Below are 24,285 nucleotides of genomic sequence, written 5' to 3' on the forward strand. Positions count from 1 at the left end.
TTTAGCCCCAACCCTGTGCTCACAGAAACATGTGCTGTATGGAATCAAGGTTTAAGGGATCTAGGGCTGTGAAGGCCATGCCTTGTTAACAATATGTTTACAGGCAGTATGCTTGGTAAAAGTCATCACCATTCTCCATTCTCAATTAACCAGGGGCACAATGCACTGCGGTAAGCCGCAAGGACATCTGCCCAAGAAAGCCTGGGTATTGTTCAAGGTTTCCCCCAACTGAGACAGCCTGAGATATGGCCTCGTGGGAAGGGAAAGACCTGACCATCCCCCAGCCTGACACCCATAAAGGGTCTGTGCTGAGGACGATTAGTAAAAGAGGAAGGCCTCTTGCAGTTGAGATAAGAGGAAGGCCTCTGTCTCCTGCATGCCCCTGGGAACGCAATGTCTCAGTGTAAAACCCGATCATACATTTATTCTATTCTGAGATAGGAGAAAACCGCCCTGTGGCTGGAGGCAAGATATGCTGGTGGCAATGCTGCTCTGTTACTCTTTGCTACACTGAGATGTTTGGGTGGAGAGAAACATAAATCTGGCCTACGTGCACATCCAGGCATAGTACCTTCCCTTGAACTTATTTGTGACACAGATCCCTTTGCTCACATGTTTTCTTGCTGACCTTCTCCCCACTGTCACCCTGTTTTCCTGCCACATTCCCCTTGCTGAGATAGTGAAAATAGTAATTAATAAACAAACACTGAGGAAACTCAGAGACTGGTGCCGGTGCAGGTCCTCCGTATGTTGAGCACCGGTCTCCTGGGCCCACTGTTCTTTCTCTATACTTTGTGTCTGTGTCTTATTTCTTTTCTCAGTCTCTCATACCACCTGATGAGAAATACCCACAGGTGTGGAGGGGCAGGCCACGCCTTCATCTGCCACCCAACGTGGGTGCCTTTCTCTAGGGTGAAGGTACGCTAAGAACATGAGCAGTGAGGACAAGTCGACGAGAGATTCCTGAGTACATCCACGGTCAGCCTTGCGGTAAGCTTGTGCGCTCAAAGGAACCCAGGGTAACGATGGGACAAACTGAAAGTAAATATGCCTCTTATCTCAGCTTCAGCAACCCACGGCGGTGGCGCTTAATCCTACAGCACCACCTAGTGGACAATGTAGCACACTGTATGAAATCATTGATTAAGCCAGAAAACAGGGAGATCTTGAGGCATGGCAGTTCCCAGTAATTTTACAACCGGTACCAGCCGGGGAAGAGACAAGTAGGAGTGCCTACCCAAGCTGAGGCTAGATATGAATCTTTCACCTTGAAAATGTTAAAAGATATGAAGAAAGGAGTTATAAACAATATGGACCCAACTCCCCTTACATGAGAACATTATTAGATTCCATTGTTCATGGAAATAGACTTATTCCTTATGATTGGGAAATTTTGGCTAAATCTTCCCTTTCACCCTCTCATTTACAGTTTAAAACCTGGTGGATTGATGGAATGGAGTACAAGAACAGGTACGAAAAAATCAGGCTACAAATCCCACTGTTAATATAGATGTAGACCAATTGTTAGGAACAGGTCCAAAGTGGAGCACCATTAACCAAAAATCAGTAATGCAGAATGAGGCTATTGAACAAGTAAGGGCTATTTGCCTCAGGGCCTGGGAAAAAATTCAGGACCCAGGAACAGCCTGCCCTTCTTTTAATTCAATTAGACAAGGCTCTAAAGAGCCATATCCTGACTTTGTGGCAAGATTGCAAGATGCTGCTCAAAAATCTATTACAGATGATAACACCCAAAAAGTTATTGTAGAATTAATGGCCTATCGAATGCAAATCCAGAATGTCAGTTGGCCATAAAGCCATTAAAAGGAAAAGTTCCAGCAGGAATTGATGTAATTATAGAATATGTGAAGGCTTGTGATGGGATTGGAGGAGCTATGCATAAGGCTATGCTAATGGCTCGAGCAATGACGGGGGTCACTTTAGGAGGACAAGTTAGAACATTTGGGGGAAAATATTATAATTGTGTTCAAATTGGTCATCTAAAAAAGAACTGCCCAGTCCTAAATAAACAGAATATAATAAGCTATTACAGCAAAAAATAAAGAGCCACCTGGCCTGTGTCCAAGACGTGGAAAAGAAAAACATTGGGCTAATCAATGTCATTCTAAATTTGATAAAAATCGGCAACCATTGTCGGGAAATGGGAAGAGGGGCCAGTCTCAGGCCCCGCCACAAACTGGTGCATTCCTTATTCAGCTGTTTGTTCCTCAGGGTTTTCAGGGACAACCCCCACAGCAAATACCACCACTTCAGGGAGTCAACCGATTACAACAATACAACAGCTGTCCCCTGCCACAGCAGGCAGCACAGCAGATTTATGTGCCGCTCAAATGGTCTCTTTACTCCCTGGAGAGCCCCAACAAAAGATTCCTCCTACAGGGGCATATGGCCCACTGCCAGAAGGGACAGTAGGCCTTATTTTAGGGAGATCAAGTCTAAATTTGAAGGGAGTCCAAATTCATACTGGGGTAATTGATTCAAATTATAAAGGGGAAATTCAGTTAGTGATCAGCTCCACTGTTCCCTGGAGCGACAATCCAGGTGATGATAGAATTGCTCAAATACTGCTTTTGCCTTATATTCAAATTGGGGAAAAGAAAACAGAACAGGAGGGTTTGGAAGTACCAACCCTGCCGGAAAAGCTGCTTATTGGGATAATCGGGTCTCAGAGGATAGACCCGTGTGTACAGTCACTATTCAGGAAAAGCAGTTTGAAAGATTAGTGGATACCGGGGCTGATGTCTCTATCATTGCCTTAAATAGATGGCCAAAAAATTGGCCTAAACAAAAGCCTGTTACAGGATTTGTCGGTGTGGGCACCGCCTCAGAAGTGTATCAAAGTGCCATGATTTTACATTGTCTAGGACCTGATAATCAAGAAAGTACAGTTCAACCCATGATCACTTCTATTCAAATCAACTTATGGGGCCGAGACTTGTTAGAACAGTGGCATGCAGAGATTACTATCCCAGCCTCCCTATACAGCCCCATGAGTCAAAAAAATCATGAGTAAAATGGGATATCTCCCTAAAAGGGGACTAGGGAAGAATGGAGGCAGCATTAAAGTCCCAACTGAGGTTGAGGGAAATCAAGAAAGAAAAGGAATACGGTATCCTTTTTAGGAGTGGCCACTCTAGAGCCTCCAAAACCCATTCCGTTGACTTGGAAAACAGAAAAACCTGTATGGGTAAATCATTGGCCTCTACCAAAACAAAAGCTGGAGGCTTTACACTTACTCGCAAAGGAACGATTAGAAAAGGGACATAGTGAGCCTTCATTTTCGCCGTGGAATTCTCCTGTTTGTAATTCAGAAAAAATCCGGCAGATGGCGCATGCTGACTGACTTAAGAGCTATTAATGCTGTAATTCAACCCATGGGGGCTCTCCAACCCAGGTTGCCCTATCTGGCCAGGATCACCAAAGATTGGCCTTTAATTATAATTGATCAGAAGGATTGCTTTTTTACCATTTCTCTGGCAAAACAGGATTTTGAAAAATTTGCTTTTACTACACCAGCCATAAATAATAACCAGCCACCAGAATTCAGTGGAAAGTGTTGCCTCAGGGAATGCTTAATAGTCCAACTATTTGTCAGACTTTTGTAGCTGAAGTTCTTCAACAAGTTACAGACAAGTTTTCAGACTGTTATATCATTATGTTGATATTTTGTGTGCTGCAGAAACAAGAGAGAAATTAATTGACTGTTACACATTTCTGCAGAGGTTGCCAACCCAGGACTGACAAGAGCATCTGATAAGATTCAAACCTCTACTCCTTTCCATTACTTAGGGATGCATGTAGAGGAAAAGAAAATTAAACCACAAAAAACAGAAATAAGAAAAGACACATTTAAAACATTAAATGAGTTTCTTTTTCTTTTTCTTTTTTTTTTTTTTTTTTTGAGATGGAGTCTCGTTCTTGTCACCCAGGCTGGAGTGCAATGGCGGGATCTTGGCTCACTGTAAAAACATTAAATGACTTTCAAAAGTTGCTAGGAGATATTAATTAAATTTGGCCAACTCTAGGCGTCCCTACTTATGCCATGTCAAATTTGTTCTCTAAAGAGGGGATCCGAAATTGAATAGTAAAAGAACATTAACTCCAGAAGCAACTTAAAAAATTAAATTAGTTGAAGAAAAAATTCACTGAGCACAAGTTAAATAGAATAGGTCACTTGACCCCACTCCAACTTTTGATTTTTGCTACTGCACATTCTCCAACAGAGAATTTTGAACATCATTATTCAAAATACAGATCAAAATGGGGTTTCTTATGTCTTCCTTTTCTACATAGACACAGTAAACAGTCTGATCTCTCTCTTCCCTACATTAAAGATTTTCAAGCATACAGTCTAGTGGTATTAAGTACGTTTACTTTTTTTTTTTCTGCAATGGATCTCTAGATTAATTTTATCTTACAAAAGTAAAATTTAATACGTTATAAACAATAAACTGCCCTTTTTTTCTTTTTCTTCAGCTCCTGAAGAACACCGTTTTACTTACTGTTTCTATAATTTTGGCTGATTTCCATATTCTTATTAGTGTAATTATATAATGTCTGTTTCTTTTTGACTATTTTATATAATGTAATGTTCTCAGGCTTTGTTTTTGTAAGATGTGTCAGAATATCTTTCTGTTTTAAAATGAAATAATATTTCATTATATGTATATGTCACATTTTAAAAATCTAATACTGATCTCTAAAGGGCCATTTGTATTGTTTCCAGGAATTGTCTTGTGTAAATAATAATGAAGAACATGCATGTGTAAATATCTGTTTAAAGTCCTGCTTTAAATATTCTTGGAATAGTTTGGATATAGTGATGTAGTACTATGGGTATGTCCATATTTTTATTTCCTGAGCCTTTGATGTCATATCCAAAAAGTGACTGCTAAGACCAGTTGCATGAATCCTTCACCATCTGTGTTTTTATTACATTCCACATATGTGTAAGATCATGTGGTATTTGTCTCAGTGTATCTGGTTTAATTTCTGCAACATATGATCCAGCAGTTTGAATTCTTTCTTTCTTACATGGTCATCAGTGTTTTATTGTCTTAGAATCAAAAAAACCATATTAAATTACGATGTTTATTGCTTAAATATATGTCACCCTGTGGTACATTTTTTTCTATAATGGCTGTACTAACTTACAATCTTACCAGCCGCATATGTTAACTTTTCTGTACATTCTCACTAACAATTCTTTTTTGCCTTTCTAATTACAGTCATTCTAACTGCAGTGAAGTCATATCTTATTGTGGCTTTGATTTGCATACCTCTGATAGTGATGTTGAGCATCTTTGCATGTTCTTCTTGGCCTTTTGTATTTCTTGTTTTGAAAAATGTCTCTTAGTCCAGGCAGGGTGGCTCATGCCTGTAATCCCAGCACTTTGGGAGGCAGAGGTAGGCGATCACCTGAGGTCAGGAGTTTGAGACCAGCCTGGCCAACATGGTGAAATCCTGTCTCTACTAGCTAGGCGTGGTGGCAGGCACCGGTAATCCCAGCTACTCAGGAGGCTGAGGCAGGAGAATCGCTTGTACCCAGGAAGCGGAGGTTGCAGTGAGCTATCGGGGGAACCAGCCCCCAATATTTCAATGTAAGTTCTTTTCTATTTTCCCTAATTGTCGGCCGGCCTGAGAAATAAAGGGAAAGAGTATAAAAGGAGAAATTTTAAAGCTGGGTGTCCAGGGGAGACATCACATGTCGGCAGGTTCCGTGATGCCCCCCGAACCGCAAAACCAGCAAGTTTTTATTAGCAATTTTCAAAGGGGAGGGAGTGTATGAATAGGATGTGGGTCACAGAGATCACATGCTTCAAAGGCAATAAAATATCACAAGGCAAATGGGCAGGGCGAGGTCACAAGGTCAGGGCAAAACTAGAATTACTGATGAAGTTTCATGTCCCACTGGGCACACATTGTCATTGATAAACATCTTAACAGGAAACAGGGTTCAAGAGCAGAGAAACAGTCTGACTAGAATTCTCCAGGCTGGATTTTCCTAATCCTAGCAAGCCTGGGGGCGCTGCAGGAGACCAGGTTGTGTTTCATCCCTATCTACAACTGCATAAGGCAGACACTCCCAGAGCGGCCATTTTAGGGGCCTCCCTCTGGGAATGCATTCTTTTCCCAGGGCTGTTAATTATTAATATTCCTTACTAGGGAAAGAGTTCAGCAATATTTCTTTTGCCCGTTTCTGGAAATAAGAGAAATATGACTCTGTCCTGCCTGGCTCCCAGGCAGTCAGACCTAATGGTTATCTCCCTTGTTCCCTGAAGATCGCTGTTATCCTGTTCTTTTTTCAAGGTGCCCAGATTTCATATTGTTTAAACACACATGCTTTACAAACAATTTGTGCAGTTAACGCAATCATCACAGGGTCCTGAGGTGACATACATCCTCAGCTTATGAAGATGACGGGATTAAGAGACTAAAGGCAAGCATAGGAAATTACAGGAGTATTGATTGGGGAAGTGATAAATGTCCATGAAATCTTCAAAATTTATGTTTACAGACTGCAGTAAAGACGGGCATAAGAAATTATAAAAGTATTAATTTGGGGAAGTAATAAATGTCCATGAAATCTTCACAATTTATCTTCTTCTGCGGTGGCTTCAGCTGGTCCCTCCATTCGGGGTGCCTGACTTCCTGCAACAGTGAACCTAGACAGTGCCGTTGCACTCCAGTCTGGGCAACAAGAGTGAAACTCTGTCTCAAAAAAAAAAAAAAAGAAGGAAAGAAAAATGTCTCTTAAGGTCTCTTCCCTATTTTCAAATTATGTGTTATATTTGTTAAGTTTGTTATATATTCTGTAAGTTTACCTCTGTATATTTTGCAAATATTTTCTTTCATTCTATAGATTATCTCTTCGCTCTGTTAATTGTTTTCTTTGCTGTGCAAAACATTCTTAATTTATTGTAATCCCATTTGCATATTTTTGTGTGTGTTTTGAGGTCTTAGTTAAAAATTCTTTTTTCTGCAATATCTGGTAAAACATTCCTCTATGTTTACTTCAAATAGCTTTACAGGTTTAGGTTTCCTATTTAAATCTTTATTTGTGATTGAGTTCTTTATATCATAAGAGGTAGGGGCCTAGTTTCATTTTTTTATTATGTAAATAATCAATTTTTCTAGCACCATTTATTGAAAAGACAGTCTTATTCCAAATGTGCGTTCTTGACATCTTTGTTGAAAATCCCATGGCTCTAGGTTCATGGATTTATTACTGGGCTCACTGGATACTTTGACCTGTTTATCTGTTTTTATATCAGTATCATCCTGTTTTGCTCATTACAGCTTTATAGTATGTTTTGGAGCCAGGTAATGTGATGCTTCCAGCTTTGTTCTTTTGGCTCAGGATTACTTTCACCATTTGTGGGTCTTTCGTTCTTCCTCATAAATTTTAAGCTTGTTTTTTCCATTTCTGTGAAAAAAGTCATTGGTACTTTGGTAGAGATTGCATTGAATCTGTAGATCATCTTGTGTACTATAGCAACTTTTATATTTTTTCAATTCATGAGCAAAAAATATCTTTCAATTTCTCATGTCTTTTTCAGTTTTTTTATCAATGTTATATAATTTTCAGTGTAGAGAGTGTTTACCTTAATTAAGTTTGCTGTTAGACATCTAGATATCTTTATTTTTATTGTGTACGTAGAAGGAGTATTTGGCAAAACTCAACATGCCTTTGTGGTTTAAGAAACTCAACAAATTAAGTATAGATGATATATACCTCAACACAATAGAGGCCATGTATGACAAATCAATGACTGATATCATCCTAAACAGGAAGTAGCAGAGCACTTTTTTTCTGACATCTCAGACAAGACAAAGATGTTTTCATTGTGTATGACAATATTCAACTTTGTACACTGTAAGACTGTGGAGCATGACTTGGCATGGTGGCTCACACTTGTAATCCCAGCACTTTGGGAGGCTGAGGTGGATGGATCACTTGGCATTAGGAGTTCAAACCAGCCTGGCCAACATGGCAAAACCCTCTCTCTACTAAAAATACAAAAATTAGCCAGGTGTGGTGGTTGGCACCTGTAACCCCAGCTAGTCAGGAGGCTGAGGCAGGAGAATCACTTGAACCTGGGAGGCGAAGGTTGCAGTGAGCTAAGATCCTGCCACTGCACTCCAGCCTGGGTGACAGAGCGAGACATCATCTCAAAAAATAAAAATAAAAAATAAAAAGACTGTGGAGCACAAGTCATATATGGATCAGTTATAAGTCTATTTCTGAGTCTCTGTGTTTATCTGTATGCATATTGTTCCTGTAGTGTTATATGAGTTGTATACTTGTTCTGTTTATGTGTGTACAATGGTGGTTTTACCCTGCCTAGGTGAGTAGTCACTGAAATTCTCCTAATTTTACCCTCTATTTATTTGTAAATCTATATTTTTGTGTGTGGGGGAGAAACACTTGTGATGTGAAGATAATTTGAAAAACTGCCATACCTCTGTGTCTATTTTAGATATTAATTGTTGTCAAAAACACAAACTTTACAATCAAATATTTTTAAATATTGAGTTTAGTCATATTAATTATATTGACATTGTTATGTACTATATCTTTAGAATATGTTTATCTTGCAAAGCTAACACTCACTACACATTAAACAACTACCTACATTTTCTACTTTCTGGCCCTTTACAAAAACAATTCTGTTTTCTATTTTAGAGTCAAACTGCTTTAGATATCTCATGTGAGTTGATTCACACAGTTTCTGTGTCTTCGTGGCTGACTTATTTCATGTTGCACAATGTCATCAAGATTTATCTTTATTATACTTTTAGAGTTTTTTTTTGCTTTTTACAAACAGTAGTATTTCATTATTTTAATATTACAAATTTATCCATCTATTTGGTGAGAGAAATTTGCATTGCTTTCATTTATTTGCTTTCAGTAACAATGCTACAATAATTATGAGTGTACAAATTACTCTTCATTTAACCATATGTGTGATGGTGTATATTTTTGCCAGATTTTATTGGTCTAGCTGTTCAGCTTTATATCCATACCACATTGTTTTAATTCGTTTGCTTTGTATGTGTTTTGAAATCATGAGCTGTGAAGCCTCCAATTTTTTTTGTTTTTTTAATTCGTGGGTGCTTTATTGTCCCTTGAAATTCCATATAACTTTGGGGTTGCCACTTCTAGTTCTGCAAGAAATTGATTAGAAATTTGACAGGGATTTCACTTAAACTGTAGATTACATTGAGCAGTCTAGACATCTTCATAATATTTCAAAATTTGAACAAGAGCATGCTGGACTGTATTTTTTAATTTCTATAAATATGTAAATGTTATAGTTTTATTAATTTCTACTCTCACTCCACCTTGGTCATTAAAAGTTATCTGTAAAATTTCTATTTAAAAACAAATTTTAAGACTTTTTGTGGCCTAACAGGTGGTTTACCAAGGAGAACATTGTATGAGCTATTGAGAAGTGTGTATATCCTGCTGTTATTGAGGAGTATTCTCTATGGTTCTCTTAGACATAACTGCCATATAGTGCTTCAAGTCTTCTGTTTCCTTATGAGTATTCTGTCTTTTTTGATTATTCATTACAGAAATTGGGGTATTGAAATATTCTACTATAGGCCGGGCACAGTGGCTCACACCTGTAATCCCAGCACTTTGGGAGGCCAAGGTGGGTGGATCACGAGGCCAGGAGATCGAGACCATCCTGGCTAACATGGTGAAACCCCATCTGTACTAAAAATACAAAACATTAGCCAGGCGTGTCAGCGGGTGCCTGTAGTTCCAGCTACTCAAGAGGCTGAGGTGGGAGAATGGCATGAACCCAGGAGGCGGAGCTTGCAGTGAGCCGAGATCATGACACTGCCTTCCAGCCTGGGCGACAGAGCGAGACTCCATCTCAAAAAACAAAAACAAAAAAATCTACTATAGTTATATTGCTCTCTATGTCTTGCTGTGTCAGTGTTTTATTTTTATATTTGGAACCCTAATGTGACACACACACACACACACACACATATTTATATATGTATACACACATTTGTCGTGGGTTCCCAGTAAATGAAACTTTTTATTGTTGTTTAATGTCCTTCTTGGTCTCTTGTGCTTTTAAAGAATATTTTATGAAATATAACAGTTTTGACTTAAGATGTACTTTGCGTCATATAATCTTGACTTCTTTTTTTGATTATTTGCATGAAATGTTTTCTTTCATCTTGCCTTTTGCAGTCTCCTTAATCATTAGATCTCAAGTGATTCTTGTTGAAAAGCAAGTTGGATCTTGTTTTTTAATTTTTTAAATCCATTTGGTGGCATCTATTTTGAATCGAAAGTTTACTTCACAAATACTTAAATAATTTGCTTAATTAGAAGGGCAGTCATTGTTTAATTGTTTTACTTGATGATTATACCTTTGTCCCTTATTTTCTTTCTCTGTCTTCCTCTGTGTCTTTTTTATTTTTATATTGATAGGATTTCTTATACTTTTGTGTATCTATAGATACTTTGTGGTATCTTGGGGATTACATAAAATTTCATAAAGTTAATATATCTTAAAATGCTAAGAACTTCAGTTGCATTTGAAAATTCTTCCTCATACATTTGCCCTCAACTTTGTTATTGGTGTGATTAATCATATTTTATGTTGCATATTAACAGATTATGATTAAGTTTGATTATTTTTATGCTTTTATCTTTAAAACTTTAGAGATTAAAATGTTTTCTGCAATATTATAATGGTACAGAACCTTATATTTGTGTATGTGCATATCTTTTTCAGAAAGTTACGTATTTTCATATGATCATGTTTTGTTTTCTTGCATTGTTATTTTCAGTGGCAGATACTTCCTTCAGAATTTTTTTGTAAGGCAGATGTGCTTTTTGAGCATTCGGTTATCTTGAAAAGTCTTTACCTTTTTTTCATTTTTAAGACAGTTTTGCTGGTTATATTATTCCCAATTAGAAGCTATTTTTCTTTCAGCACTTTTTATCACAGTTTTCTGGTCTGAAAAAAATTTATCAACAGATTCACTGGTTATCTCTTAAGACCACACTTATGACACATCACTTTTATCTTGCAGCTCCTAAGATTCTCTTCCTGTCTTTGACTTTTGAAACTTTGCTTATATATGTGCCTTGCTATAAATCTGTGTGTGTGTACCCTAGTTGAAGTCTGTTGAGCTTCATTTTTTATATCCTTCTTTTGCTTCTGAAAATTTGTCATTATTTTTGTATTTTTCACCTCCATGATGTCTTTTTTTTGTTTTTAATGTTTTCATTGATTCTCATTTTTCTGATTTTATTTAGTTGTATGTATTTCCATTTAGCTCATTGAGAATTATTCAGGTTAAATTTTAAAAATTTGTACATCTTCATTTTTTATGGTTGTTTTCTGAAAATCTTTAAATTTTTTAATTTGGCCATGTTGCCCTAATATTTTGTATGCATTGTAATATTTGCTTGTTATTTGAAGATTAACAAAAAGCCATTTGTCACAATCTTTACAATGTTGCTTTGTCCTGACATAGTCTGAAACCAATTGTCTTTGATAGAGATTATGGGAGCCTCCCATACATGTTTTAAGGATGTGTCTTGTCTGGAATTTCATGTTTTTCAGTTAAAAGGGTTTGTTCATGTTTCTTCTTAACAGTCTCTAATCACTTGCCCTACCTACTTTCTGTATTTAACACTGCAGTCTGCTCCTGAAACATTTACATTTTGTCTCAGCAATCCCAAGCTGTCCTTTCAAAATATACCACTGTTTCTTTCAGCACTCTGTATTATTGGAGACAGAAACCAGTTTTTGTAAAGACTACCAAAAGCCAGAAGTAATGATGTGTGCGTTAGTATTTTTCTTATTTTTAAAGAAAGAAGCCAGGAATTGGCAGTTTACTCCTAAAGACACAATGCTATACTGGGGAGGAGGAAGGGCTGTGTAAATGTAACAAATTTTCCTTTGCATTCTATGTGGCTCTTGGCATTGTTCTTACCTGAGGCATTACATACAATTAACTCATTTCGAGATTTTGCACAAAAGCATTTTGATGAGTATATGTTTGTTACATGTATATGTCTGTGAAGGAGTTATGGCCTGTGGTATTTTGTTGTGCCATCTTACTAATGTACTTTGTATAAGTATATATATATTAGATTTGTAAAGTAAGTATATTCATATGTAAAGTGTATTCATATGAATCTAGTAAGTGGGATAATTTGTTATTTTTCTTTCAGGTGTGTGTTCTCATTTTACCCAAGATCTTTGGCCAGTGCAGGGCATAGAAGATTCATTCCACAAACTTATACTGAGAAGATATGAGAAATGTGGACAGAAGAATTTACAATTAAGGAAAGGCTCTAAAAGTGTGAATAAGTGTAAGGTGCAGAAAGGAGGTTATAATGGACTTTACCAATGCTTATCAACTACCCAGAGCAAAATAATTCAGTGTAATACATCTGTCAAAGTTTTTCATAAATTTTCAAATTCAAACAACATAAGACATACTGGAGAGAAATCATTTAAATGTAAAAAATGTGGCAGATCATTTCGCAAGTTCCTCCAACTAACTTAACATAAGGGAATACATGCTGGAGAGATACCCTACAAATAAATGTGAAGAATGTGGCAAAGCCTTTAATAGGTCCACAAGCATTACTAAATATAAGAAAATTCATGCTGGAGAGAAACCCCTCATGTGAAGAACGTGTCAGAATCTTTACCTCATCCTCAAGCTTTGACAAACATAAGAGAATTCATACTGGAGAGAAACCCTACACGTGAAGAATGTGGCAAAGCCTTGAGACAATCCACAGTTCTGAATGAACATAAGAAAATTCATACTGGAAAGAAACCCTACAAATGTGAAGAATGTGGCAAAGCTTTTAGACAGTCCAGAAGCCTGAATGAACATAAGAATATGCATACTGGAGAGAAACCCTACACGTGTGAAGAATGTGTCAAGCTTTTAACCAATCCTCAAGCCTTATTATACACAGGAGCATTCATTCTGAACAAAAACTTTACAAATGTGAAGAATGCAGCAAAGCCTTTACTCAATCCTCATCCCTTAATAAACAAGAGAATTCATACTGGTGAGAAACCCTACACATGTGAAGAATGTGGCAAAGCCTTTTATAGGTCCTCACACCTTACTGAACATAAGAATATTCATACTGGAGAGAAATCCTACAAATGTGAAGAATGTGGCAACGCCTTTTATAGATCTTCACACCTTACTAAACATAAGAGAATTCATTCTGGGCAAAAACCCTACAAATGTGAAGAATGTGGCAAAGCCTTTAGACAGTCCTCTGCACTGAATGAACATAAGAAAATTCATACTGCAGAGAAACCCTACAAATGTAAAGAATGTGGCAAAGCCTTTAGATGGTCCAGAAGCCTGAATGAACATACGAATATTCATATTGGAGAGAAACCCTACACATGTGAAGAATGTGGCAAAGATTTTACTTGGTCCTCAACCCTTACTGTACACCAGAGAATTCAGACAGGTGAGAAACATAGTTGATAACATAGTTGAATGACATTTCTAGTAATATGTTTCCTTTGGCTTTAAACAGCAAATAAAGTGAAGAATATTGTTCCATGTTCTTTTCTTTATTTCTTAAAATTTTTGTAGGCACATAGTATATGTACATATTTCTGGCATATATTAGTTATTTGAATACAGGCATACACCATGTAATAATCCATCAGAGTAGGCCAGGCGCAGTGGCTCATGCCTATAATCCCAGCACTTTGGGAGGCCAAGGCAGGCGGATCACAAGTTCAGGAGGTCAAGACCATCCTGGCTAACATGGTGAAACCCCATCTCTACTAAAAATACAAAAAAATAACTGGGCATGGTGGTGAGTGCCTGTAGTCCCAGCTACTCAGGAGGCTGAGGCAGGAGAATGGTGTGAACCCAGGAGGCAGAGCTTGCAGTGAGCCTAGATAGCGCCACTGCACTGCACGCCAGCCTAGGCGACAGAGTGAGACTCCGTCTCCAAAAAAAGAAAAAATCCATCAGAGTAAATGAGATATTCATCACCTTAAGTATTTATTCTTTGTATTACACAAGTCCAGTTATACACTTTATTTTTCAATGTACAATTATTTTTTACTACAGATCGTTTTGTGATTGTAATATATCAAAGTATAATTCATATGTTTCTGAGTCCTGAATGAATACTTAAAAAAAATGTTTCATATTTGTCTTTGAACATGTAGTGTCTTGTCCTGCAAACACATACGGACTTTTCATTTTTATTTACATGAAGTTAAATATATAAATGTATTGCTCTAAAAATAAACCGTTAGGTGTAAGAAAATTACAGAGCAAGCAATAGTGTTTGTGTGAGAGTTTGTACCTATTTTCCAAAGAAAAGATCAATATTGGAACAAAGAAGATTCTTTTATAAGGTGGATAATTTACTAGAAATCTAGAAACCTAAAACATTGTGAAATCAAATCTATATTTCTTTGGATTTAATTACTGTAAAATCTAATTGTTGAGACTCTCCCCATGTAAATTGTTTTCATTTGTTACTCATATTACAGCTATAATTTACTTGTTTCTTCTTTTGTTTTTACTTTATTATTTACGATGTGAGCTGGTGAGAAATTATAAGAATGATTTTTATAAAATTTAGTACACAAATTTTTAGATGCAAGTTCACAATTTGTGTATTGTTATATTTGATCTAGTTAGAAAATTTCATTTTGTGGCTTTAACTGGAGAACTCTATATGAACCGTTTTCTTTAGTTGTTCCTTTCACTTTTTACTTGACATAAATGAGTTTATGTATTGTGTGCCAATTTGTTCAGGTAAGTACTGGGAAATCTTTTAAGTCATGGAGATGTTTTGATATAAAATTGTAGTGAACATAAGAAAGTGCTGTGTGTGTAATAGATGCTCCATAATTAGCCATAAATATTCTTTCTGGAGTCAGTTTGTAGCTGCAAGTAAGAGACAGAAAATGTCTATAGTGAAGAAATGGCATTAATTGTGCATGTGGAGAGGACATCTGTTCCCAGGCTGCAAAACTGACTCATTCTGAATTTAAAGAGGGTTTTTTTTTTAATTTAAAAGTAAACTTTAATGTCAAAAATGCAAACTTAGGGAGGACATAAAGATCACATACAAGGCTGCCACTTCACACTTGGAGGGTTGCACAGCATCTGGGCAAAGGCTCTCCTCACTTCCCAGATGGTGCAGCAGCTGGACAGAGATGCTCCTCACTTCCCAGATGGTGGGGCAGCCAGGAAGAGGCGCTCCTTACTCCCAGATGGTAGGGCCGCCGAGCAGAGGCACTCCTCATTTCTTAGTGCGGCCGCCAGGCAGAGGCACACCTCGTGTCCAAGAAGGTGTGGCAGCCAGGCAGAGGCGCTCCTCACGTCCCAGGCGGTGCAGTGGCCGGGCAAAGGCGCTTCTCATTCCCAGACAGGGCTGGGGGCCAGGGAGAGGCGCTGCTCACTTCCCAGACAGTGGGGCAGCTGGGCAGAGGTGCTTCTCACTTCCCAGAAAGTTGGGCAGCTGGGCAGAGGCGCTCCTTAAAGAGGATTTGTTTTATGTTTATCCTCAGCTATGTATGCCTCACAGCTCTTCTCCTTGTGTTATGGCTACGGTTTTCTCACTGTTCTCTTCATGCCATGTAATTTCACATGGACTTTCCAGGTTCTGATAGGTTCGACTTTTTTTAATATGGTAAATTGTTCCTAATTGGGACTGTTTGAGGTTATTTATAGCTTCTCAATGCAGCATTTAGATTGCTTGAGAAGTCTTTTAGTGTTCACAGGTAAGAGAAGTCAGCATTGTTTTTCTGCTTATGAAAGAAAATTTTTGAGATTCTAAAACTGTCTTAAGCATAACACTAAGACTAGGTAAAGCATTAATATGAGTGGGTTGCATATTGTCAGCACCATATGAAGAAAATATCAGAATTTTGAAATTTCTTCAGAGAAAATGTATCTTAGAGGTAAATTTTTTAGGAGACTTAATGGTAGAGAAGAATTTTACATTTAATATTCTATGACATACTTATAGCAAAACTTTTTTCATGCAGAATTTTCTATTTTTGAATGTGAATCTTAAGTGTTGGAAAATAATAGAATGGTCTCTGTAGATTCAAAATTTGGAATGATCTTTTTTGTCCAGATTGATACTGCAATCCTGAGGAATTTCTCTTATGATTTTTTATTTTAGTGGATGCAGTTCATGGTCTACAGTTTTCATTCTTAGTCATCTAACTAACTTTAACCAAGTCCTTGGTAACCTTCTCTGGAAAAATTTTGGAGAGTATCATTTTCTCAGTGATTTTTAATGCAAATTTACTTACTTTGGTCACAGAATGGACAATTATGGGACCTTTAGCAAGTTACCCTTTTAATGTCTTCCCTATAATTACCATCAGCATTAGAAACTCCAGGTGCTTCAAACTTAAAGCAAAAGCCCTAGAGTACATCATCTTGTCTTATATAGTGTTCTGGGTCTCAGAGTACATCATCTTGTCTTATATAGTGTTCTGGGTCTCAAACATGCTGGCAAATATTAGAGTTTCTGTGGTTATTATATTACAAAAACAGCACAAAAACTATTTTTGATAATACTCAAAGACAGACCAGCATTTGAAACATTATTCTTCTGTGATGGCTTTTAAAATGCATTTTTAATTGACAGATAAAGTATGTATTTATCTTGTAGAACATGGTGTTTTGAAGTATATATATGCTGTCAAAGGCTTACTTCTAGGTAATTCACATAGTAATTATTTTTGTGATGAGAGCACATAACATTGACTGTCTTAGCATTTTTCAAAAATACAATTCATTATTATAGTCACCATGCTGTAAAATCGATTTCTTGAACTTATTCCACCTGGACATCTGTAATTATGTATTATTTTACAGACATCCCTCCAAATGCTTTTTTTTCTAAATAACCAAGTATCTGGTAAGCAGCATTCTGTTGTCTGGTTTATTTTCATTTAGCATACTGTCCTCCAAATTTGTTCATATTGTTTTAAGTGACAAGATTTCCTTACTTTTAATCCTGAATTGTATTTCCTTGTGTATACCATATTTTGAAAAAATGAATTGAAATATGCATCAATTTATTGAACAAATCATGTAATGAAAAGATACTTCGGTGTTAAAGCATGTATTAATGAAATCCAGCTTTTACACATTTTATTTTTTTGAGATGGAATCTCGCTGTCACCCAGTCTGGAGTGCAATGGTGCAATCTTGGCTCACTACAACCTCTGCCTCCCGGGTTCAAGCAATTCTCCTGCCTCAGCCTCCTGAGTAGCTGGGACTACAGGCATGAGCTACCATACCCGGCTAATTTTTGTATTTTTAGAAGAGACAGGGTTTCACCATATTGGCTAGGCTGGTCTCGAACTCCTGACCTCATGATCTGCCCACCTTAGTCTCCCAAACTGTTAGGACTACAGGCATGAGCCACCACACCCGGCCTACACATTTTATTAATAGTTAATTTGTACTAAACACTACCCATAACACTGTGTTAATAAATTTAATTTTCACAGTAATTCCATAGCATAGGCATTATTATTATCCTTATTTTAAAGAGAAAGAAATAGAGCCACAGAGAAAAATTACTTGCTCACAACAGTGGAGCCAGTTTTAAAACACAGGGAACTTTGACTCCAGAGAAAACACTCTTTGTTAAACACCCTCTTCAAACAGAAAATAAGTGATTATCTTCAACACCCATTCTTAGTAAATATTTAACAAAATTAAATCAACTGATACATTTTTTGTTATATGTGTGTGCAAATGTGTGGGCGGCAAGCCACCCAGGTGCAGAGGCAAGAGACCGAGGACACGAGCTGTTCCAGTATAACAAAATGTAAAACAACAATAGTTACGCCAGACATAGATCTTAGATATGATTATATATGAATATAATTAATCAGCAGTACTTATTCTTTATTCCAATATTATAATAATCCTCGCTCTATAATCATAACCTAGGAAAAACCAGGCCATACAGAGATAGGAGCTGAGGGGACATAGTGAGGAGTGACCAGAAGACAAGAGTGCAAGCCTTCTGTTATGCCCAGAAAAGGCCACCAGAGGGCTCCTTGGTCTAGCGGTAACGCCAGCGTCTGGGAAGACGCCCGTTTCCAGGCGGACTGTGGTCCAGCGGTAGCGTGTCAAGGAAAAACACCCACTACTTAGCAGACCGGGAAGGGGAATCTCCCTTTCCCCAGGGGAGTTTAGAGAAGACTCTACTCCTCCACCTCTTGTGGAGGGCCTGACATTAGTCAGGCTCGCCTGCAGTTATCCAGAGGCCTAACCGTTTCCCTGTGATGCTGTGCTTCAGTGGTCATGCTCCTAGTCCGCCTTCATGTTCCATCCTGTACACCTGGCTCTGCCTTCTAGATAGCAGTAGCAAAATTAGTGAAAGTACTAAAAGTCTCTGATATGCAGAAATAATGGCATAAGCTGACTCTCTCTCCCTCTCTCTCTGCCTCGGCTGCCAGGCAGGGAAGGGCCCCCTGTCCAGTGGACACGTGACCCACGTGACCTTACCTATCATTAGAGATGACTCACACTCTTTACCCTGCCCCTTTTGCTTTGTATCCAAAAAACAGCAGCACAGCCAGACATTCGGGGCCACTACGGGTCTCCATGACTTGGTGGTAGGGGTCCCCCAGGCCCAGCTGCCTTCTTTTATCTCTTTGTCTTGTGTCTTTGTTTCTACACTCTCTCATCTCCACACATGGGGAGAGACCCACCGACCCTGTGGGGCTGGTCCCTACACAAATGTATAAATTATGATACATAAAGGAGAAATACTTCCTCTAACGAAACTATATAAACTCTAGAAATTGCTCTTTGCTACTGACATGTACTTGGGAACAACCTTTCTTTCAACTGTCCTTGCCACCCCTCCAGCACTTCAGAATATTTATAGCATGATTTTTACGTAAACCTGTAGTCAGCAAATGCTGTAATTAATCAAATATTTACTACAAAGGCAAGCAGTACACTATGATTTTATTACTTTCTTGATACAAATTTTGAGTTAATTATTTCACTCTATATTAGTATCCTTTGTGCCTTTTTCTCAGTTTTGCCTAATACTAGCAATTATCTTACTTTTAAACTATTTGTTTATAAAACTTTATCTCTGGGAACCTCAGCTCAGCAGAGTGCATAGCCCTGACCAGAGCCCTAGAACTAGAAAAGAACCAAGGAGTTAGGTACTTTTTATACAGATTCCAAATATGCCATTTTAGTATTCCACAATTATGCCACCATTTGGAAAGAAAGGATTGTTGACAGCAAAAGATACCCCTACTAAATATGGGTCACAGATATTTTACCCTACCCTAGGCTATCCACCTACCACAGAAAGCTGCAGTTCATTGCTGGGGCTACCAGAAATGCCAAGATGAGATTACCTAGAGAAACAGGAGGGTCGGCCAAGCAGCAACGGCCACCACCCTTTCCGGGGAACTCCTTATGGCCCTTATCCCAACTTTGCCTAACAACCTGCCCACCCTGCAATGGGGTATCAAATGTGAATATACTCTAGGACTGAAAGATTGTATAAATTGGGAGAGGTTCTTTATTTCCCCCAGGTTCTCCAGCAGAAAGCAATAAGGGCACTCCATAATTCTTGTTTCTGTAGGAGAGGCCATCTCCATCAGCTATAACCAAAAAAAAAACAAAAAACTCCTCTTTTTGACAAGTTTGTAAAGCCTGTCCATCTGGGTCTATAATAATCCTCCAGGCCCTATGCCACTCCTCTTTATTCAGCCAGTTCAGCAACAAGAAACCTACCCAGTGGGAAGAATGGTAGGTAGACTTTAATTAATTGCCAGCCTATCGAGGCTAGAAATATCTCCTGATCCTTGGGAATGCCTTTACTGCCTGGGTTGAAGCCTCTCATACTAGAATAGAAAAGATTCAGGTAGTTGTCAAGATCATTCTGAAAGAAATTATCTCTTTGAGCCTCCACAGTCTTCACAAAGTAACAATGGCCTATATTTTATTTCACAAACTACCCAAACAGTGGCAAAAGCCCTAGGGATATAATACTTTTCACACTCCTCCTGAAAGCCACAATCTTCCAGGAAGGTAGAAAGGACTAATCAAGCTATTAAAAGGACCTCGAGCAAATGATGCCAGGAAGCCTCTTTACCATGGCTAAAACTTCTACCCATGGCACTTCTTCAGATCAGAACAGCCCTTAAATTACGTCTATGGCTTAGTTTCTTTGAAGTCCTATACTGGAGACCCTTTCTACATGCAAACCTAATATTATACCCAGAGGTTACGAAATTAACCCAGTACATAAAATCCCTGACTTAATTTCAAGAGGTCGTCCAGGAGTTTGGACAGAATTCTGAGTCTAACCCCCCTAACAACCCATATAACCAGGCAGGAAAACAAGTCATCATTAAAGTCTGGAGAGATGGATCTCTCAGATCTCAACTAACCCCGTCACAAAAGAACAATGTTACTATCATAATTTCCACCCCAATAGCTATCAAGTTTCCTGGCATCCCTAGCTGGACACATTACTTCTGAATACAACTGGAAACACATTAAGGAACCAAAGATTGAACCAACACTTACCTACTCCTGTGACCCACAGGAGGACTTACAAATTTCTCTCCAAATGAGAAGATAAGTAATGCTCTCCCTCCTTTTACCTCAAAGTAGTGTGATCCCAATAATGGCAAGTAATGCTCTCCCTCCTTTTACCTCAAAGTAGAGTGATCCCAATAATGGCAATCTTATTTGCAGTGGTGCTGTTGATTCTTACTTTCACCCTAACTTGTGCACCACCAGGAGTTCCATTAAGAGTTTTTTTTTTTTTTTTTTTTGAGACGGAGTCTCGCTCTGTCGCCCAGCTTGGAGTACAGTGGCGCTATCTCAGCTCACTGCAAGCTCCGCCTCCCGGGTTCACATCACTCTCCTGCCTCAGCCTCCTGAGTAGCTGGGACTACAGGCACCTGCCACCACACCCAGCTAATTTTTTATATCTTTAGTAGAGACAGGTTTCACTGTGTTAGCAAGGACGGTCTCGATCTCCTGACCTCATGATCTGCCCACCTCAGACTCCCAAACTGCTGGAATTACAGGCATGAGCCACCGTGCCCAGCCATCTAATACTAATTTTTTAACCTAATTTAGTTATTTTACTTTTGACTGCTTTAGTCCATCAGCAATGTTAGTAATACTTTGGTGTTTATATTGCAAGTCCTAATACTCTTTGCAAACTTACTAATAAACCTTTGTTACTGTAAACCAACACCCTCTCCAGGGAAGTTTCCTATGTCCCTCCTACATTTACACATCAAAGCCATAATCTGAGTAGTGATCTCTCTAATAATCATTGCATTAACAGTTGCTCTTAACAAGCATCTCAATTTGGCCCTATTCTGAACCATGCAGCCTAATGTTCTCTGGTCATTACTCATACTCTTTTGTTGTTGTTGTTGCACTCTGCAGGCAACTCCACAACTACTAAACTCTACCAATTCTTCCTATGCCTCAAACCTGTTAGCTAGTCATGAATTCCTCTTCATTCAGGGTGGGAATGGCCTACTTGGCCACAATACAAGAATGGGCAACTTCTCAAGCCCAACTTAGCTTCACCTATCATCAGGACCTCTCTATACAAAAACCTTCCCTCTGCTAACATAATATTTTTAATACAACCTAAAGCAGCTTTTAAAGATTTTCTTAAACCCACCCCCATTGATTCAAGCCCCTTGTTCTCCCCTGCTACCCTCATTGGCCAGGCACTCCTATACATCTGTGCTACTGTAAATTCCAGATCCATTGTGGGTGCTTTAGACCCAGCACAATGCAACACAACAAGCACCATTATTGATATTTCTCAAAATTTTGTTTCACTAAATATTCTCAACATCAAATGAGATTTTCTATTCTCCCTCCAAATGTTTTAACACCTGGACCATTCATCCAAAATGATGCCTCTGAGTTCTGCGTCAGTCACCCTTCTTGGAGTCAACCCAACCCATGGTGTTGACCAAGCCAGTATAAATTATGCAAAAGGTTTCAAGTCTTTAATTTCTTTCAGAAAATCCTTTTCTTTGACACTACTAGAAACATGCCTATGTTTAAAAAAAAAAAAATAGGACCCATGTCTGGCTCCCCTGGCAGCAGCAACTTTAGTGGCAGGATCTCACATGTCGGGTAGCCAACAAGGACCCTGGTCAATGTTTGGAACTGACCTCACCTTCTGCATCCATTTTTATCGACTACAGAACTTTACTTCCTGTGTGAAATGCAGGCTTATCTCTGTCTCTCTGGAAACTTGACGAGCACAAGCACTCTGGCTTCCTTCACCCCTAACATTTCCATTGTCCCGGTTGATGCTTCCTTGCTGTTACCCTTTACTACCTCACACCAGATCGACTAAGCAGTTTATCTTTTTTTTTTTTTTTTCCTGAGTTTGGCATCTCAGGTGCCACTATAGGAATAGCTGGCATAATTATTGCCTCCTCAACTTACCAAAACCTGTCTCTGGAACTGACTCACAAAATAAAAACTACTGCTCAGACTCTTACAGAGTGACACCAACAAGTTGATTATCTCGTGGCTGTAGTTTGAAATTGTAGAGGTCTTGCTGCAGCTCAGGAAAGAATCTGCCTTATGCTAGGAGAAAAATGCTGTTTCTGGGTTAACAGATTAGGGAAAGTCCAGGACCATGTTAGAGGTTTTACAAACCAGGCCTGTCACCATCAGAAACATGCCACTGAAAGCTAGTTCTCTTGGGGTGCCACTTGGTTCCAATTCTCATGACATCCCACTTTTTGGGGATCCCTAGCCTTTGTCTTCCTTTCTCTCTTTTGTGAGCCTTGCTCACTAAATCTAGTAACCAGGTTCGTTTCCTCTCACCTAGAAACTCTCAGACTTCAAATGGTCCTGCAACAGGAATATCGACCTATTTTCCCCCAATCTGCACAGCCATGTCCCTACACATTTCCTCTGGACAATGCAAGTTCAACCTTCTGGGAGAACATGGATGGAATCTTTTTCTGACAAAAAGCAAGAGAATGAGATACTGATGAATTCTTTATCTCATATTACCAGGAAGTAGTTACAGAAGACCCACAGTGCCCCTAGACTCAAAGATTTTTGGAGTCTCAATCTATTGAGGAGGGAACGTTAGAGGAGGCAGTTAGACATGAGCAGGAAAAAGCCCCTGGGGGAGAAAAATCTCATGCTCCAAAGACAACCCAAGATATGTACGCTAAATTTGAGCAGAGTGGACAGGAAATACCCATGAAGAAAGAATACCCAGAAACACCCCTTAAGACACCCAATAATTGCTCATACTGTGATTAAACTGTCAGAATGTAGCTAGCTATATGCTGACAAAAAGAGGGAAAGGGCAAAAGGAAACTTCCTAAGAGATATGCAGGCGTAGTAAGTACAGATTTGACTGCTATATGACTTTCCTAGGGTAGTGGTAATAAGCTATTCTGCCATCAAAACTCATTGATCACTGGAACTCACACATGTACATCAGCCGACAGTAAGGAAGCATCTCATAGACCTGGGAAGAAACTCAGTGAGGATAAAAGAAGAGATTTACCAGGAAGCAGGAAACTCCACAAAGACAAAGGCAGACACTTAAGACAGAGGTGGGAATTTTTTTTAAGTCTATAATAATAAAAACTGCAACATGTAAATCTCAGGGCTGTTTCCAGCTGAGCCAATCCACTCCTCCTTTGGTGTGTTCTTTATTTTCCTTTAATGAACTCTCTGCTTGCTTCACTAATTGTCTCTGGGCTGAATTGTTTCTCTCAAGAAAACAATAGCTGAGGACCTTATATATGCTGAATTACATTAATGGAATTAATGAATGTTTGAATTCAATAGCTGCCATAATCGCCTAATTTTTTCTAGAGAAGGTGACCAAGAACTTGGATAAAGTTAGATGACTAAAAATAAAAACTGTACCCCATGAACTGCATCCACCAAAACAAATTTCAAACTCAAGATTGCAATACGAATCTCAACAAAAAAAGATCATTGCAGATTTTGAATCTACACAGATCATTCTATTATTTTTGCAACACTTAACATTTAGTCAAAAATAGAAGATTCTGCATAAAAAATAAGTTTTGCTATGTCATAGAAAATTATATGTAAAATTCTTCATCTACCATTAAGTCTTAAAAATTTTATTTCAAAGATATATTTTAAGAGATTTCAAACTTCTGATGTGTTTCTTCATATGGTGCTTACAATCTGCAACCAACT

General features: G+C 38.4%; 2 pseudogenes across 1 annotated transcript in view; both read left to right on the top strand.

Moving 5' to 3' along the window:
* ZNF876P (zinc finger protein 876, pseudogene) overlaps positions 1 to 14,664 on the top strand; it is a 43,386-nt pseudogene extending 28,722 nt beyond the window's left edge. Inside the window, exon 2 of the transcript NR_027481.1 lies at positions 12,239 to 14,664. The product of NR_027481.1 is annotated as a zinc finger protein 876, pseudogene (transcript). The remainder of the gene's footprint in view (positions 1 to 12,238) is intronic.
* On the top strand, positions 21,499 to 22,935 carry LOC100533733 (endogenous retrovirus group FRD member 1, envelope pseudogene; annotated as a pseudogene).

Source organism: Homo sapiens, chromosome 4 (assembly GCF_000001405.40).
Source record: "Homo sapiens chromosome 4, GRCh38.p14 Primary Assembly".
Lineage (NCBI taxonomy): Eukaryota > Metazoa > Chordata > Mammalia > Primates > Hominidae > Homo > Homo sapiens.